Here is an 18,561-nt window from a genome sequence, read left to right as displayed (position 1 = left end):
CACAGAGCAAGTCCACAAAGACTGGCAGTGGTGGCTGTTTTTCAAATGCCCAATTTCCAACAAATGTTTACAAGGCATACAAAAAGAGAGAAAACACAGCCAATTGAAAGGAACAAAGCAAATCTCCAGAGACTGATCCTAAAGAAACATGAGCCTCTGGCCTACTTTAAAAAGATTTTCGAACAACCATCTTAAATATGTGCAATGAGCTGAAGTAGAACACAGAAGATTAAGCAAAATCAGGAAAACGATATATAAACAGAATTCAAAAAGGTAGAAATTAAAAAAAAACAGTAATTCTGGAGCTGATAGATACAATAACTGAATTGGAAAATCTGCTAGAAGAGTTTGACAGCAGACAAACAGGCAGAAGTAATAAGTGAACTTGAAAACAGGTCATTTGAAATTATTAAGTTGGGGAAGCAAAAAGAAAAAATAATAAAGAAAAGTAAACAGGGGCTAAGGGATTTGTGGAACACCATCAAGCCGACCAATATATGCATTTTGGAGATCAAGGAAGGAGAAGAAGGAAAGGGGCAGAAATTTTGTTTGAAGAAATAATGGCTGAAAAATTCCCAAATTCAAGTACATAAATTGATACACAAATATAAGAAGCTCAATGAACTTTTTTAGACAAATCCAAAGAGATCCACCCTGAAACACGTTATAATCAAATAGCAGAAAGTCAAAGACAAAGAATTTTCAAAGCAGCAGGAGAAAAGTGGCTCATTATATAAAAGGGAGCCCCTAAAAGATTACGAGATAATTTCTTACCAGAAACTTTGCAGGTCGGAAGGCATTGAGATGATATATTTAAAGTGTTGAAAGGAGGAAAATGCCAACCAAGAAAGGAACAAAGTAAATAATATATCTGGCAACATCATTCCTTAAAATAAGGGAGAAATTAAGACATTCCCACATAAACAAAAACTGGAGGATTTAATTACTACTAGGCCACCCTACAAGATTTTTTAAGGGAAATCCTTCAAATTGTAACAAAATGATGCCAGATCATAACTAAAAGTTATAGGAACATTTGAAGATCTCGGGTAAAGGTATAATAAATATATAAACACATAGAAAAACCTATATTATTATAATTTTGGTTTGTAACTCTGCTTTTAATTATTTTATATGATTTAAAAGACAAAATCATAAAAATAAGTATAAATCTATGTTAATGGGTACACAATATATAACAATGTAATTTGTAACATCAATAACATGAAGCGGGGACAGAACTGTAACGGAGTAGAATTTTTATATGTGATTGTAGTTAAGTTCTTGTCAGTTTAAAATAGGTGGTTACAACTTAAGATGTTTTATGTAATCCCCATGGTAACCAAAAGTTATAGATTGACAGAACGGATTATAAAAGAGGATATCCAAATATATGTTTTTAATAAGCAATTTACTTTACATCTAAGGACATATATATGTTGAAAGTAAAAAAAATAGAAAAAAAAATTCCATGAACATATTAACCAGAAGAGAGCTGGGGTGGTTATACTGATAGCAGATAAAACAGACTTTAAGTCAAAAACTATTGCAAGAGACAAAGGAAATTATATAATGATAATAGGGTCAATTCTCCAAGAAGATATAACAATTAGAAGTGTGCCTGTGTGTGTGTGCATGCGCATGAGTGCATGTGTGTATGCAGCAAATATCAGAAGTCCTAAATATACGAAGCAAACGCTGACAGAATTGGAGGTAGAAATAGATAGCTCAATGATAATGGTAGGAGGCTTCAATACTCCTACTTTCAATAATGGAAAAAGTCCACCAGACAGAAGATCAGTAAGGAAATAGAGGACTCGAACAACATATACAGCAATGGTACCTAACAGAGATAGGTATCACAGTCCACCTAATGACAGCAGAAGACACATTTTTTCAAATGCATGTGGAATATTCTATTCTCCAGGATAGACCATATGTTAGGTCACAAAACAATACAAATAAATTGAAAAATAATGAAATCATGCAATGTATCTTTTCTGATTGCATTGAAACTAAGAAAAAGAAAGCAAAAAATCATTAATTTGTGGAAATCAAACAATACAATCTTAAATAACCAATGAGTCAAAGAAGAAGTAACAACAGAAAGTAGGAAATATCTTGAGGCAAATAAAAATAAAAGCGCAATAGAACAAAATTTATGGGATGTAGCAAAAGCAGTGCCGAGGAGGAAGATTTATCGCAGTTAATTCCCATATATAAAAAATAAGATCTCAAATTAATAATCTAACTTTATGCCTTAAAGTACTAGAAAAAGAAAGCAAAACTAAATCCAAAGCTAGTGGAAGAAAAAAATAGATTATAAGAGATAAACAAAGTAGAGAATAAAAAAGCAATTCAGAAAAATTGCTTCTTTGTAAAGATTGATTCCTTGTAAAGATCAACAAAAAGGACATAGCTTTGGTTATATTGTTTAAGAAAAAAAAACAGGACTCAAACAATTGAAATCAGAAATAAAATAGGGGAAAGTCCAACTAATTTTACAGAAATCTTAGAAAATTATAAGAGAATGTGATGAACAATTGTGTATCACTTAATTGGATAATCTACTTAAAATTATAAATTCCTAGAAACAACTTAACGATGGCTGAATAAAGCAAAAACAGAAAATCTGAACAGATATATAAACAGTAAAGAGATTGAATCAGAAATCAAAAACCTCTACACAAAGAAAAGTTCATGACCAGATGGTTTCACTAGTGAATCCTGACAAACATTTAAAGAAGAACAAACACCAAAGTGCCTCAAACTCCTCCAAAAAATTGAAGAGGAGAAAACACTTCCAACCTCATTTTATAAGGCCAGCATTACCCTGATACCAAAGCTAAACAAAGATACAAGCAGAAAAGGAAAGTACACATCAGTATCCCTTATCCATAGTGATGCAAAAATCCTCAACAAAATACCAGAAAACCAAATTCAACAACCCATTCAAAAGACTGTACACCATGAGCAAGTGGAATTTACTCCTATGTGCAAGGATGGTTCAATATATGAAAATTAACTGAGGTAATACACCACATTAACAGAACGAAGGGAAAAAACACACAATTAGCCGGGCGCAGTGGCTCATGCCTGTAATCCAAACACTTTGGGAGGCTGAGGTGGGCGGATCACGAGGTCAAGAGTTTGAGACCAGCCTGGCCAATATGGTGAAACCCCATCTCTACTAAAAATACAAAAATTAGTCAGGCATGGTGGCGCCCGCCTGTAGTCCCAACTACTCAGGAGGCTGAGGCAGAAGAATCGCTTGAACCCGGGAGGCAGAGGTTGCAGTTAGCCGAGATAGCGCCACTGCACTCCAGCCTGGGCAACAGAGCGATACTCTGTCTCAAAACAAACAAACAAACAAACAAACAACCACATTATTATCTTACTTGATGCAGAAAAAGCATTTGACAAAATTCAACATTTTTTCATGATTAAATAACTCAACAAACTAGAAATAGAAACTACTTGAACATAATTAAGGCCATATATGAAAAGCCCACAGCTAAAATAATACTCAGCAATGAAAGTCTGAAGTTTTTTTTCTCCAAGATAAGAAACAGGACAAGGATGGCAGGATGGAGGGGTACTGAGTGGGTGCTGAGCCTCCCTTTTGGTTTAGTGGAAGATATCATTTGTTGATTTTAGAGTCCAGGTTGGAAACCAGCTCCCCACTGGGCAGTCACACGGATACATGGCTATGTTGTGTTGCAGCATCCAAACCCTCCTGGCTCTTCTGAGGGTAGCTCAGTCACTGCTTTTCCATCTTTCTTCTGAATTCCAAGAACACTTAACGGAAACCTAGTTTATGTCTTATTATTTGCTGCATTTTATTTTTCCTATAAGTTCTTTACTAGATTTTAAGCTGCCTTACAGCAAGATTTGTATCTTGTACTTGTTTTATATTCCTCCCCACTACCATGTCTAGCTCAGTGCTGGTCACCCAGGAAGAGCTAACAGATTTCTTTTGCCTGCCAAGCAAGCCTCATGTTTCTGAAAAGAAATGATCTACTGAGCCTAAAACATTGGGCCCTGAAAAAAATAAATTAATGACATCTTTGAAATGGAATAAAAAATAGAATTCCAAAAATAAGGGAAAGAAACAAAATGAGACAGTAAGAAATCAGAGTGAGTAGGAAGTGTAAAAAAGTTGGAAGATATAGAACCTCAAATATTTTTAGAGGAAATAAATTTGAATGGCTTTAAAAACACCCTATTAAAATGTATATAGATACTCAGAGTATACATAAAAAGTAAAATCTAATGCTTCACTGTAAGAAAAAAGCTTTGCTATTTATAATATAAATTAAAAGTAATAAAAAGAATGACAGGTAAAATGTATTCAGTGCATACTATACACTAGGCATTTTCCCACACACTTTCACATACACTGTCTCAACAGGGACACAGTCAGATGGAAAAGTGGCCACAGTAATACCCTGGAGCTGGGGAATTGGATAATTAGATTCCAGAGGCCTCACTGTTAACCACTATATTATTTTTAGATAGAAATAAGTTTAGAAATTGAACAAAGAAATTTAAAGGATGGACAAAGAAAATACCACAAAAAGAAAGCAGCAACATCAATATTGATATCACATGAGGTATCATTTAAAGTCAAAGGTAAAATCTACCGAGAGAATGAAAAGCTCTTGAATGTTTATGTATAAGTGCATGTATAAATGTCAGTGACGCATCTGCAGCAATGACTGTTAGAAATGTAAGAACCTCATAAAAACAAGATAGAGGCACAGTGTTTAACAAACTCCTTGCAGGAGTGGCCAAACATATTGCTAAATATAAATAAAAATGCAGATCACTTAAAAACTGCATTAGCATACTTTATTTAAGAGATACTTTTAGCATTTTTGCTGATGAGAGAATACATTTTGCAAATGCTCATGAAACATTGGCAAAAATTGATCATGTTTTAGAGCCAAAGGAAATTTCAAGAAAGCCTCAAAGAGTGGTATTCTCTAATCACAGTGCAATTAAACTAGTGTAATAGTTAACTTTATGTGTCAACTGAACTGGGCCATGGGGTTTTATTTCTGGGTATATCTGAGAGGGAGTTTCTAGATGAGACTCACATTTGAATTGATAGACTGAGTAGAGAAGATTGCCCTACCCAATAAGGGTGTGCATCTTCCAGTCCAACCACAGAGAACCCAAATAGAACAAAAAGGCCGGGGAAGGAGTTTGTTCTGTCTGCCTGGCTGCTTGCGCTGGGATACTGGCTTCCTCCGGCTCTTGGTCTGGGACTGATGCCATCAGCTCTCCTGGTTCTGGCCTTTGGACTCAGACTGGAACTTGCAACCTGAACTCTCTTTGTTCTCAGGCCGATTGGTTCTGTTTCTCTGGAGAACCTTGACTAATACAATTAGAAAATAAAAGTAAAATTTCCCGTGTCCCCTTCCTCTATCACCAATATAACCACCCCAAGTTAAAAATAATAACTTAAAAAAAAACCTTAGGTTAAGCTAGACATGACAACTAAAATTATGGCTTTGTTAGAAGTTAAAGACAATGAGAACACTATATGTTGGTCCAAAATTATAAAGAAAACCCATAGCATTCAATATTTTTGTTAATGAGGAGAAATGTTTAAAAATATATTAACCAAAAGTTGCTTAAGAATGAAGAATTGTACAACAAAATGAACCAAAGGAAGTTAGAGGAAAGAATTTATAAACACCAAGTAGTCATTACCTAACTTAAAATCACCAAAAATACCCACATAAGCAAACAGTAGAACTGATAAATGAATCCAAATCCTCTTTCCAGGAAAGACCAATAAATAAATCAGCCTCTTACACATCTCTTTAGGAAAAATATGGACAGCACAACAGACAACACCACAAAGCAGAAAATAAATGTGAGGGTAGATATAAAGTATTCTTTAAAAGAATATTTTATATAAATGTCATCCGGAACGTTTTAAAATTCACAAGAATTTAATGCTTCTTTAGGAAATCATAAATTACCAAAATTTTACCCAACAAGAAGCTAAAAAGTACACAGATCAATCACTGTAGCAAAGGCTGAAAAGTGTCCAAATCTATTTCTTCAAAAGGTTCCATGTCTAGATCGTTTTATAGAAAAGTTTTATCTGGGAATAGATTATTTCTTTACATGATAAACTGCTCTGGAACTATTCATTTTATGAGCATATGAACTAACAGTGAAACCTGAACAAACTAATTCCCCCCAAAACAGAAAACTAAAAGCTAGTTTCACATATGAATACAAAGGCAAAAACAATAAATAGAATACTAGTACATCAAAACTAGCATTATATGAAAAGAATCATATTTTAATCAAATAGAGTTTCTTTCAGGAAAAAGAGGCAGGGTCAATGTTTAACTTCTGTTTAACCTACCGCAATTCATCAAGAGGATAAAGAGGAAATTTTTTTAAAGAATTTTGAGAAATCATATAATACATTCAATATTTATTTCTCATAATAATACATACCAGAAAGCAGAAAGGAAAGCCCTCAACATGATAAAGGATATTTATCGTAAATTACAGTGACACCATGTTCAACAGAACAGCAGTGAGACTGTTCCTAGCACAGACAGCGCAACAGCCAGGCTCACCGCAAGTCCACGCTTTTTTTTTTTTTTTGAGATGGAGTCTCGCTCTGTCATCCAGGCTGTAGTGCAGTGGCGCAATCTCGGCTCACTGCAAACTCCGCCTCCCGGGTTCACGCCATTCTCCTGCCTCACCCTCCCAAGTAGCTGGGACTACAGGCGCCCGCCACCAGGCCCGGCTAATTTTTTTGTATTTTTAGTAGAGACGGGGTTTCACTGTGTTAGCCAGGATGGTCTCGATCTCCTGGCCTCGTGTTCTGCCCCCCTTAGCCTTGTTCAACATGCTTATGCCTTATTTGAGATAAGAGAAATACTTTGTTTTCCCGGGAATACACTTGAGGAAATCTGGAGGAAAATGAAATTTATCACTGTATATTTTATAGACGAGCTATTTGTTAATAGTAGTGTTTATATTGTGATTATTTAAGCTTTTATTATTGTTTGATTACATTCTGTCGGTGGTCTTTTTCATGGGGCAGGTTTCCTTGTTCATCTTACTAGGATGCAAACTTGTACATAATATTTCATCTCCTTGAGGACTCGGGAGTGTGAAGGGCCCTTGTGGGTTTCTGCATAGATTTTGAGTAGCTTTGGGTCTCAAACCAGAATAGTAAATGCATTCCCTATTAATGTCTGGAAGGCTGTTTCTGAAGAAATAGGGTATTAGAAGATTTCACAACTTCTTCAGGGAGCACAGCCTCCTAGTAAACTAAATTTCATCAGAGTTAAGCGAAACAACTTTTTTTAGTTTATAAGCATGCACATTCCTTTACAGTCATTTTTCAGCTGGATTCTGACAAACTAAGTGTAAAACAATCCTATCATCAGTTTCTACACCTGGAAATTCCTTATTTTTCTAGGCTAATATGATTATACTGTTCCTGGAGGTATTTTACACTTAGTTCTCAGCGAAGAATGTCTTGATCTGAAAACCTGGGTCAGAATTTGAAAGCCTCCCTTCATTTTTATAGCAGAAAAAGTTTACAGAGTCATTTTCATGTGAGTTCAGAGAATGCTGCTTTCTAAAATTCTTCAGAAACAAATTTTCGATTCACTGTCTGTGCTTTGTCAACAACAAAAATCAACTTTGTGTCTGATTCTTCGTTATTTCCTGCCTCCATGATAATTAGAAGTATATATGTATGTATGTATGTGTGTACATGTATGTATTTATAAATTTATTTATGCTACTTACTTCCAGAAAAGACTAGAAGCAGCCTAATGGCAATAACAACAAAAGAATGTGGACAATGATACTGTTAAGATAAGTTTTTAAGAAATATTGAAGCCATTATTTTTGGTGGTGGTGATTCGGGGACAGGCAATGATGAAGATAAATTGTACCAAAAATATGAGCCCTCCAGTCAGTTGTACTATTGAACATGAAATGTAATTAAAAATCTCATAAGATCAAATAGAAAGGGAAAAATGGGTTGCCCAGTTTCCTTTATTTAAAAAACCAGTCTACCACTTTGTCAGGAAAGTAAAAGTTTTCCCCAAGCGTTTCATCTCTTAGAAGTCACTTTCCTTTGGATCTTCAAATGAAATAGAATGACATACAAACAGCTGGTCGATAACCATTTTGAAAGTCAAGCTCGATGAAAGACAAGAGCACAGAGTAAATCCCAATTCTGTGGACACGTTTCCAGAGAGACCTAAGATAATGGCACTGGGGTGGAGCTGTCTCCTTATCTGACCTGACATGGCATAAAGCGTGGGGCGCCTGAAGAAGCGGAGCAGTGTGTGTGTTACACAAGCTGTGCAAAACACAGACAGTTTGGGGCTGAACAGTGACAACAGAGGATCAAAGTGTTCTGGGAATTACTAATCACATTTCCCTAAGCAAACACAGTTCCAGAAACACATCCTAGCTCCAATTCCCTGGTGATTCTTTGCCCTTTCCAAAATCATCTTTCACATGTAGACACGTGACAAATATTTATTGAATAGATATCTCACATTATATCAATAGGTCATTCTAAGAATGACCTGTCTTCTCTCATCACTTTCTTTTTTGCATAAACTCTTGCCTGCAAAATAAAAAATTAAAGATGCCCCCTTGAAGCAAGAGAGAAGTACTTAATTATATGACATTTATTTCTTGGGGGTTGCGGTGAAGTGTTCAGGCTTTCTGTTCTTTATGTCTGAATAGTGCCAGGCTATTGCATGTCATATGCATGAGCAGCAATCAACTGAAGTGCCTGCAAAAAGGCTTGCTTCTCCTGAGAAGCACTAACTTAACAGGGTACTGTCACTCATTTTTCCCATGAGGACGCATGGTGATAGAGGCTCAAGTGGGGAATGAAGGGCACTGAAACATCTGACCAGAGACATGCTCTGACTCTCAGAGGACAGCGTTTCAAGTCACTGGCAGTTCATTATTTCCATTTACTGAAGCCTTCCCTTCTTGGTATTTCATTTTTCTGAGCGAGGCTGATAGGAGGCAACTGCTACCTTGGCCTTCTAGGGACTGGTCCCTTTTTTGAATAATCTGCTTCCTATTTAAAAAATTAGTTTTTTAAAAATTGCCTAAAGATTGATCATTTTTTTCTTTGTGCTCATCATTCATTTATTCATTTATTCAGTGACTTTACTGGCATATATTGAATGTTAAGAAGGTTTTATGCATTACAGAGTCCCAGAGAGTAAAATGCAGTCTTGCTCCTCGGTAATACCATGGTAGAGGAAGCATGGACATGAGGAGTGACCAAGTGTGGTGGGAGCACAGAGAGAGAATAATTACTTCCATTGTGGGAAATTACAGACAGGCTCACATAACCTTAGACAAACCAAACTGTGGGACATTCCACAAAATGATTGATGAGTGCTCATCATGAACGTCAAGAGCTTGAGAAAAAAGACTGCAGAAGCATTACAACTTGCAGGGGACTGCAGAAACACAACAATTAGACCTGGCCTTGGATAGCACGGGGGTTAGGAGTGCCATCCCCCTGCATAGTAGAAAATCCAGGTACAACTTTTAACTCCTGCAGATCTTAAGTACTAATAGCCTACTGTTGGCAGGAAGCCTTGCTGACACCATAAACAGTTGATGAACACATTATTTTGTATGTTTCATTTATACTGTATTCTTACAATGAGCTAGAGAAATGAAAATGTTATTAAGAAAATCATAAGGAAGAGAAAATAGTAAATGAATATTTACTATTCATTAAGCAGAAGTGGATCATCATAAAAGTCTTCAACCTCATCGTCTTCACATTGAGTAGGCTGAGGAGGAGGAGGAAGGGGAGAGAGGTTGGACTTGCTATCTCAGGAGTATCCTAGGCAGGAGAAAATCCACTTATAAGTAAACCTATGCAGTTCAAAACCATGTCGTTCTGGAGTCAACTGCACATGCAAAGTGAGATTCTGGATTGGAACACAGAATAGTCCTTTTTTAAAAGGACATTTTTAGAAAGACAAGTGAAATTTAAATTAAGTCTTGGCTTAGTTAATAGTATTGAACCAATGTTGATTTCTTGGTTTTGATCACTGTACTATGATTACATAAGATTTTGGCATTACAGGAAATCTGTGTGAATAGTACAGGTATTCTGTATTATTTTTATACCTTTTCTGTAAGTAAGTCTAAAATGATTTAAAATCATTTAAAAATACAAGTTAGAAAAACTGGCAAACTTCCCAGAGGAGGTATTATTTACATTGACCCTTAAAGAATAGAATTTCAAAGGGAGAAGTGAGGGAAGAAGAGACCAGGAAGAAGCAGGAAAGAACATGCTTTCCAAAGAGGTGAGCTGTGGTTGTCCTGGAAATATGTGGAAGGAGACATTTGAAGTAATAGTGTAAGAAAATGCAGTTTGTATGGTTTGCAGGTGATCGAGAGGTGAAAAGTCATCCCTGAGCAGAGCCATAACGTGACTAACAATATCATTCAGAAACAAAGGCAGAGTGAGAAGAGGATAGATTAAAGAAGGGCAAACTTAGACTCAGTGAGACCAGGTATTTGGCTGCTGAGATAATCAGAGAAGAAAAGTTAATGTATCTCAACCAGGATCATGGTGGGAGGCAAGGCAAGGCAAGGAAGGCTTGAAGCTCAGTCTTTAATGACCTTTAAGAGTAGGTGAGCAAGAGGACTTGCTTAGCACCAGTTCAGTGGCCCATCCTACTCATGGCCTCTGTTTTCTAGTCATTATCTGTGCTTTATTGGTCATAGAAAGAGGCAAGAGCCTTACCAATGGAAGGTGTTGAGTCAGGAGAGGAGTCTAGTGTCCTCTGGACCCTGTCCCTCTTTTTTGGGTAGACAATCTGGAACAAAGGAACCACCAATTTTCTGTTTGCCAAACTTCCCATAAAAGTGTGAATGAATCAGATTCATAAGGAGATGATTTCTCTTATTTTGAAATGTGGGTTTAACATTTTTAGAGGAGAAATGGCTTTATAAAATGTGTTTTGCTCAACTGAAAACATTTGAGGAAAAATAGGAAATTAAGGCACTGCCATGGGCTCTTCAACCTTATCTTCTGGTATGTCAGATTTCAAAAGATAACCATCTTCTTTGTCTAGAGATTTTCAGAGTTCAGAGTTGAATCCAACATTGCCTTTCTAGAGGGCATTAGTGAGCCATCAGAATGTCTAGGGATGAAGGCCCTGGAGGCCACTGCCCCCACCCACTCGACACCTCTAGTGACATTTAAGACTGGAGTGGAGAGCAAGTAGTCCCCTGCAAGCTGTAATGGGTCCGCAGTCTTTCTCTCATGCTCTTGAAGTTCGTGATGAGTACTCATTAGTCAGCCTCACGTCAGTGCTGATGTGAGGCTCTGGACTCAATTTCCTGGTCTGAGGTATTCCTCTTGCAGTTGCCTTCTGTTCAGCCAGAAAGGCAGACAAAGATGGCAGCAAGGTGTCTTCAAAACTCTAGAAATTAAGTTATCAAATGAAACATAAACAATTTTTGAATTACAGAATTGAGAAAAAAAAAAAAAAACTAGTGAGCCCTGTCTCTGCGAGAAGGTTGTCATCTTTGGAAACTTTTGAGGTTGAGAACCAGACCCTGAGACATGGCAGGCTATCTGAGGACAGACCAGCATGTGAGACATTGTGGCTGTGAGCAGCTGGCTTTTCTCTGGTGACAGCCTTTGCCCTCCACCCCAGACCTAAATGTCAAGAGGAAGCAGAAGTTTGGGCAGATGATGGAACGTGGTGATGGAAGGCTGCTTTGATTGAGACTTATATAAACTTCACTGTTTCCTGGGAACGAACAGGGGGAAAAGAAAAAAAAAAAAAAACACTGACCAGTCTCACACTTCACTGAGGGGAAAAGAAGCAAATGGCAATAATACAAGTTAAGTAGACACAAAGGAAAAGGAGAGGGGAAGAGAGAGGGAGAGGGTGGAGTTCTATGTGATTCTTGAATGTGCTGGTGTTGGAACAGAGATGGGTGGGGATTCAAGTCCCTCTCCAGTACTCACTGTCAGTGAGGACAAGCAGCTGCCCTCACTGACCACAGACCCTGCATCCATAAAGTGGGGATAACAGAAGATGCTCCTCACCAGACTGTGCAGGAACAGAAGATGTGTCATGTACTTGGCACATGGCTGAATACAGAAAAATCTTTAAAAATTTGGGGGTAGAAATAGAGGGAAAGTTTTGAGAAAATTTTCACCACTTCAGAAACTGGGGAGAGCTAAGACCACAGACAGAAGACAGAACAGTGGAGGACATGGGATTCTTCTTCCGCCTTCTCTCCCAGGGGCAGTGAACGTGCCTATGTCTTGGAAATAGGAGGGGGGTCAAATTTCCTCTCTGTCCTGGGGGACTCTTTTGCAGACTTAGGCAAGTGATTTCATGACATCTCTGGCTCCCACTGCTTGCTGCTTTCCTGCTGGGGCCACAGGTAACTCAAGTTTCTGTGGTGGGCCTGTTGGGTTCTCCTTAGAGTCTGGGTTGCTGGAGCCATGAGCCTAAACTGTATCCTTCCTGGAGATCTCTGCTACCAGTTCATTGCTGAATCATCCTTGTGTTCATGATTCAACACCCTTCAAAGAGGTCATTTCTCCTCATACAGTTTTTGTTGCTGAATTTCCACCTGGACACGGTTTATTATCAACTCTTACCTACGCTCTTTTATCCTCCCTGCTTCCTACCTCCTGCTCCCTTTTATCCTCTTCTTCAACAAGTTTCTCTTTTTGACTATTCCTACTTGACAATTACTATGCAAAGCATTAATTATTAACATTTGACATGTTATACTGAACTGAAATCAGCACCCAAGCTGCCCCAGCCAGCCAACTTTTGGGAGTCAGCTACTCATGAAACAGCTCACTTGCCTGATGAGAGACTCACGGCAGCTGCAGTCTGGGAAGGAGGGCTTGGCACGGCAAGGGTGGGCTGGTAATGTGTTCCAGGGAAACCAGCTGTGTCTCAGACCCTGACCAGCTCCACCACAGAATTACTCCCACTTGTTCACATCAATTAGAAATACTGAATTTCTTAGTGGTGTCTGATATTTTATTTTTCTTCCAAGTCAACTTCCAAAGGATAAGGATACTATCTATTCTTTCTTTATTTACAAAAACTAACACTTAATGCACGGAAATTGAAAGAAAAACAAGAGCAAAAATCAAAAGGTCCCCAATTTCACACTCAAATGAAACTTGTTGGCCTGGTTTTTTTTTAAAAGTCGTACACATGCATAATCAGAGAATTCAGAAAGTATAGAAAAGTTCAGAGTAAAAAGTAAATCTTTTCTACTGGAATCTAGTTCTTCCCCTAAAATAATTATATTATACACACATACATGCTGTTTTCAGATTTATTTTCTTTGGTTAGATGATTATTCATTCACCTTCTGTCTATTTATGTAAGTATTTCAGGATACACATTTTCTGTGAGAGAGATTAGCAAAACTCCATCTGTTTTTATATGCCATGCTTCCAAGAGATTGAGTCTATCCATTTTCAACTTTATCACCTGAAATCAGAGCTTCATTCTGTACTATTTCTACTTTAAATTTATTCAGAATTTTTCTGTGGCCTAATAAGTGGACAAATTTTTTGTACACTGTTCTTTCTCTGTGGTTAGAGATACATACTGAGATCTGTCTCTTGGTTAAATTTTGTTATTATTTTTGATCCTCCACACCATATTCTCAAAGTGTGACCCCAGGCCCAGCAGCCCAGTAGCATTACAATGGCCTGGGAACTTCTCAGATGCAAATTCTCAAGTCCCCTTCTTCTCTACTACTGAGGCAGAAACTCCAGGGTGGGCCCAGTGATGGGTGCTTGAGCACATCTGAATTCGGAGACTGGGTCAAGTTTCAGAGCCACTGCTCTACCGCATTGATTAATTTGTGAATTTGTATCCACTTCATCAATCATGACATCATATAGATGACTTAGTATCTTACTACTTCTGTTTTTGGTTGATTTATTCTAGAAGTGCCTAGATCATATGTTTTATGGGTTTTTGTTTCTTCTTGTTATTTGGTACATAAAAAGCATTGCATTCTCAGTGTAACTGTGTTAATAACCCAATTTTCTCTAGTTTATCACTTTCTGATGTAACTTCATCCTTGTCTAATATTTTTATGGTGAACTCTAGGTTTCTTTTTGTTAGCATTTTCCTGGTTTATCTTCATCATTTTCACTTTATGTGTCCCACTTGTATGTACCTCATTCTGCAAGTCTTTTCTCCAATAGGCATGTTATCATGTATACATTTATTAGCATTATTTTATCTAAATGCATTACTCGAGTATTACTTTTTATCTTTTACATATTATTAGCTTAACTTTTGGGATTTTAATTTGTTTTCAATATATTCTTTATTCTCTCATTTACTCTAGGAATTGCCTTTCTTTCATTCTTTTTCAGTGTGTATGGTGTGTGTGTGTGTGTGTGTGTGTGCCTTTTGGTAATTTGGAGGATTAATAGTATATTTTAGTCTGTCTGGTAGGTGTTACCATGTTACACTTAACCCCCCATGTCTTGATTTAAGAAATGTGGGCAGCCTCTACAGATTATCCTCCCTGTTTTTGCTGTCTAGATTGTTCTCATTTCTTTTTGTGGCTCCCTTTACTATAGCAATATACTTGAATCTTTCTTTAACTTAAGGAGTATAAGGAAAGAGTCCTTCTTTGTTTTCTTCTTTGGTGGCCAAAGAAGAGCTGGAAGGAGTCTCCTTTCCACCATAACAGTAAGGCCAACCAGTCCCCAACCACTGTCTTTAGACTGGTCCCAGCCTGGTCTCTGTGGCGAAACACCAGTGCACGGAGTCCCTGGAGGGAACAGCTTCATGAAATGATGAAATACCTCCATTTGACAAGTAAATTGCACTTATTAATCTTATAATTTTCTTTATCAGTTTAATCTATTCTTTGGCATGCATGACAAGTAAACAGTTTTCATTTCCAAATGATAAATATGGGGAAGTTAGAGGCTTTTGTGGTGACATTAAGTCCTCAGAGAAAGGAATGACTCATGATTATGCCAGCTGGAAAAATGTCATTGTGGTTAGACTCATTTTATCAGTTTTTGCTAAGAAATGTCAGCATGCTTTTTCTGTTGTTTGTTACGGGTACTGGATGAAGAATGGGTTTTAAACCAACTCAGAACTAAATACTCCCTTACATAGTTGTCTAACATTTGTAGATTCCTTCTTTTAAAAGTTTAAATTTAATTCAGTTGAACTTTTCACAGTCAAAATCACCATTTTCTCACTGCTTCATCCCTCCCCCAGCTCGTAATTAGTCAGAACTTCACGTTCTTTTTCCTCTGTGCTCCACACTCCCAGTCCTCCAAGTCTGAAAATAAAGGTCTCCACTGGGAAGTTTGGAGAGACGCATAAACTATCTGCCTAATGGCAGCATCGAGGTGGGATTGTGCTTAACAGACCAAACCACAAGTAACAGGGAAATCTTGTCTGTTCAGCTGGTGTCCTGAGTAGGGACCCTAGTGTTATCACCTTCATAAAAGATCTTCCTGAAAATTTCTGTATTTCTGAACAAAAACAGCAGAAAGTTTTGCTTTTCCCATGAGATCTGTGCTCATAACAGCTTCCTTGTCTATGTCTATTGCCTTGTTCTTCATGCTAACACCTTTAAAAATGCAGGGACACTCCAAGAGCGTAAACGACTCTCTCAAGGTACTAGGACTAAGAGACGGTGCAGAGGGGTCTTGATGAAGGGGTTCCATTATTCCAATCTGCCTTGGTCTTCTGTGAGCAGCCACTCCTGATGTCTGGGGTGATGCAGGCTGGGCAGCTAGTAGTATGGAGTACCCCCTAGAAGAGGAGAAAAGATGGAAAGGATTTCTCTCACTCTTGATCTGCTGTCTATGTTGCCTGAGTGACCTTGGGTGTGAGTGTGACCATTCCAAAGAGAGTAAACATAGAAACAGCTACGGTTGTTAAAACAGAATTGTCTTGACAACAGCTGATGGAAAAACCTGCTATTTACACTACTTTTGTGGGCGGTAGAGTATTCAATGTTGTTTCATAAAAGTAATGCTGTAAAACCAGCTTCTGTTTCTGCTCTCCAGGGGCCAGATTTGTACTTCGATGAGCACACTTGGGTGCACGTCCTTCCCCTTGTAACAGATGTCATGGAAATTTGCTCATATCTTCTCAGAACTCATTTCTACAAGCAAAAGCTTTTGTTCTGGATGTAGGAACATACGTGCTTTGTTTGCATGTCAAGCCCGAAGTGCCAGAGAAGAAATACACCTCTGAAAAACAGCCTTTGACAAATGATGAATGGGTTTTGCCCCTCAGGTGGACTGACTCTAGGTCACCGTCAGATGTCCCACACAGGATGAAGCTCCATTGCCTTCGTATTAACTTCTTGACAAAGAATCCTTGGCCAGGCGCAGTGGCTCACACTTGTAATCCCAGCACTTTGGGAGGCCAAGGTGGGTTGATCACTTAAGGCCAGGAGTTCGAGACCAGTTTATCCAACATGGTGAAAACCCAGCTCTATTAAAATTACAAAAAAATAGCCAGGTGTGGTGGCACATATCTGTAATCCCAGCTATGTTGGGAGGCCGAGGCACGAGAATTTCTTGAACCTAGGAGGCGGAGGTTGCAGTGAGACGAGATTGCACCACTGCACTCCAGCCTGGGCAACAGAGTGAGTCTCAAAAAAATAATAATAATAAAAATAAAATACAAGAATCCTTCATGGGCAACTTGAATTTGTAAGATTTACCAATGGGGAAGAAGTGAGTGGGAAGATGACTGTGATAGTTACTTGAGGCAGGCGACTATCTGGGAGGCTAGAAGAAGAAGTATGGATGGACTTATAATGCAGGCCGAGGAGCAGGTCAGATACCAGAGCAAACTGAAAATGAAATGAATTGTTTAATGGTGTGCCGAGTTCTCCGACTGTGCCAGGATTTAAACAAAAGATGAAAAGTCATAGGACAGCAGTTCTGAAAATGAGAATCAAACAGTGGGTACTTAGCAGCTGTAACTCTAATATCTCTTTCATTGGTGATATTCTTGGGTTTAGTCTCAGCTACTTGATGGGTAGGTAATGTGATTACCAACCCCGCACTTTTGTCTTCTTGGTTCTGTACTGATGTGTGTAAAGCATGGCCTTAAATAGACATAGTGTGTCCCTGTGGAGCCCTGGGACAGTTCCAGGGTCAATAAATGTTTTTTAGCTTCTCCAGGTCCTGGCACCTTGCACTCAGACTGCTTGTGAAGATTGCTATTCAAGTCTTTGTTTCTCTTTGATGAATATTTTCTTCAAGCCCAAACTGTAAACAAGGACCATGCCACGTATTGACCACTGGCATCCTCATCACCTTGCACTGTGGCTGGCCCATCACAGGTGTTTAGTAGCTGTTTATGGAACAAAAGGAAGTGAGCCTTAACATAGGCTCTGAGGCTACAAAGTTGAACATGATACATCTCTTTTTCCTTCAAGAATCTCATATCAACCAATGATTTCTATGCAACATCAAAGTAGGCAGAGAACAGGAAGGTGGGCACCTGATAAAGGGAGAAGAACATCAGAAAAGACTACCACAGGAAGCTAACAATTGAGATGTCTTAGTGTAGCATCCCCAGTCTTTAACATGCATGAAAATCACCTGGAGATGCTGTTTAAATGCTGATTCCGAATCAGTGGTCTTAGGTGGAACTCAAGCGTCTGTATTTCTAACAAGCTCCCAGATGGTGTTGATGCTGCTGGTTAGCAGAACACTCTTTGAACAGCAAGGTCTTAGAGGGTCAGTAGGTTTTCAAAGAAGAATGAGAATTACAGGAAAAGCAAAGATCTTAGAGGCATGGACGTATATGAAGTTTTAAAAGATGGTGAGTTTGGTAAGAATGGATCTTAAATTATGTGGAGGAGACAGAAAAAGAGAAAGTGTGTGAGGGGGACCACAGATGAGAAAGCAGAGGCCATTTTAGGACAAGGCAGTTTATCTTTGTCTCATTTTTAACCTTATAGGCAATAGAGAGCCACCCTATGCTTCTAAGCACAGAATGGCTTGAGCATCTTGAACTTTAGATGGGTTGCCTGGCAGCTGTACAGTGAAGCATCAGTGGAGTGGAAGTGAGAGTGGAAAAACTCAGGAGTTTTGAGTTGTGACCCAATCTTGGGATGTAAATGAAAGGCAGTCATGGTTTACAAGGGGCTGTAGTGATGGAGAAGTAGGGGAGGTATTAATCAGTGTTTAAAAAATAGAATCAACAGGACTTCCTAATGCAGAATTTAAGAAAATGTGTAGAGATTAATACAAAAATAACACTCTGATTTCTTTCTAAGGAGCCTGATTGAATGATTGCATCATTGATCAAGATAGAAAGTACAGTAGAAGGGCACCAGGAAGACAGTGAGTTCAGTTATTGATTTCAAGGATTCTGAGGAACATCCAGACTTGTAGATAGGTTCACACACATGCACATTCACACACATGTGGGATTAGGGGAGCATGAGCCACACATGGTGATTCAACCCCCTTTCACAAGAAAAAATAATAGAACATGTTAC

At 38.3% G+C, this 18,561-nt stretch overlaps 1 long non-coding RNA gene across 1 annotated transcript in view, besides 1 other annotated feature; it reads right to left on the bottom strand.

Moving 5' to 3' along the window:
- LOC107985449 (uncharacterized) overlaps positions 1-18,561 on the bottom strand; it is a 57,505-nt gene that overhangs the window by 37,067 nt on the left and 1,877 nt on the right. The window lies entirely within an intron of this gene.
- Positions 14,864-16,063: an enhancer, noted in NCBI's record as "BRD4-independent group 4 enhancer chr20:22901714-22902913 (GRCh37/hg19 assembly coordinates)". NCBI's record gives its function as "activates an origin of replication core promoter dependent on BRD2, P300/CBP, MED14 and CDK7 cofactors, and independent of BRD4, by STARR-seq in HCT116 cells {active_cell/tissue: HCT116}" and the evidence as "EXISTENCE:reporter gene assay evidence [ECO:0000049][PMID:35650434]".

This window comes from Homo sapiens, chromosome 20 (assembly GCF_000001405.40).
Source record: "Homo sapiens chromosome 20, GRCh38.p14 Primary Assembly".
Lineage (NCBI taxonomy): Eukaryota > Metazoa > Chordata > Mammalia > Primates > Hominidae > Homo > Homo sapiens.
The sequence above is the reverse complement of the archived record's forward strand: the minus strand, read 5'-3'. Positions and strand labels throughout refer to the sequence as shown.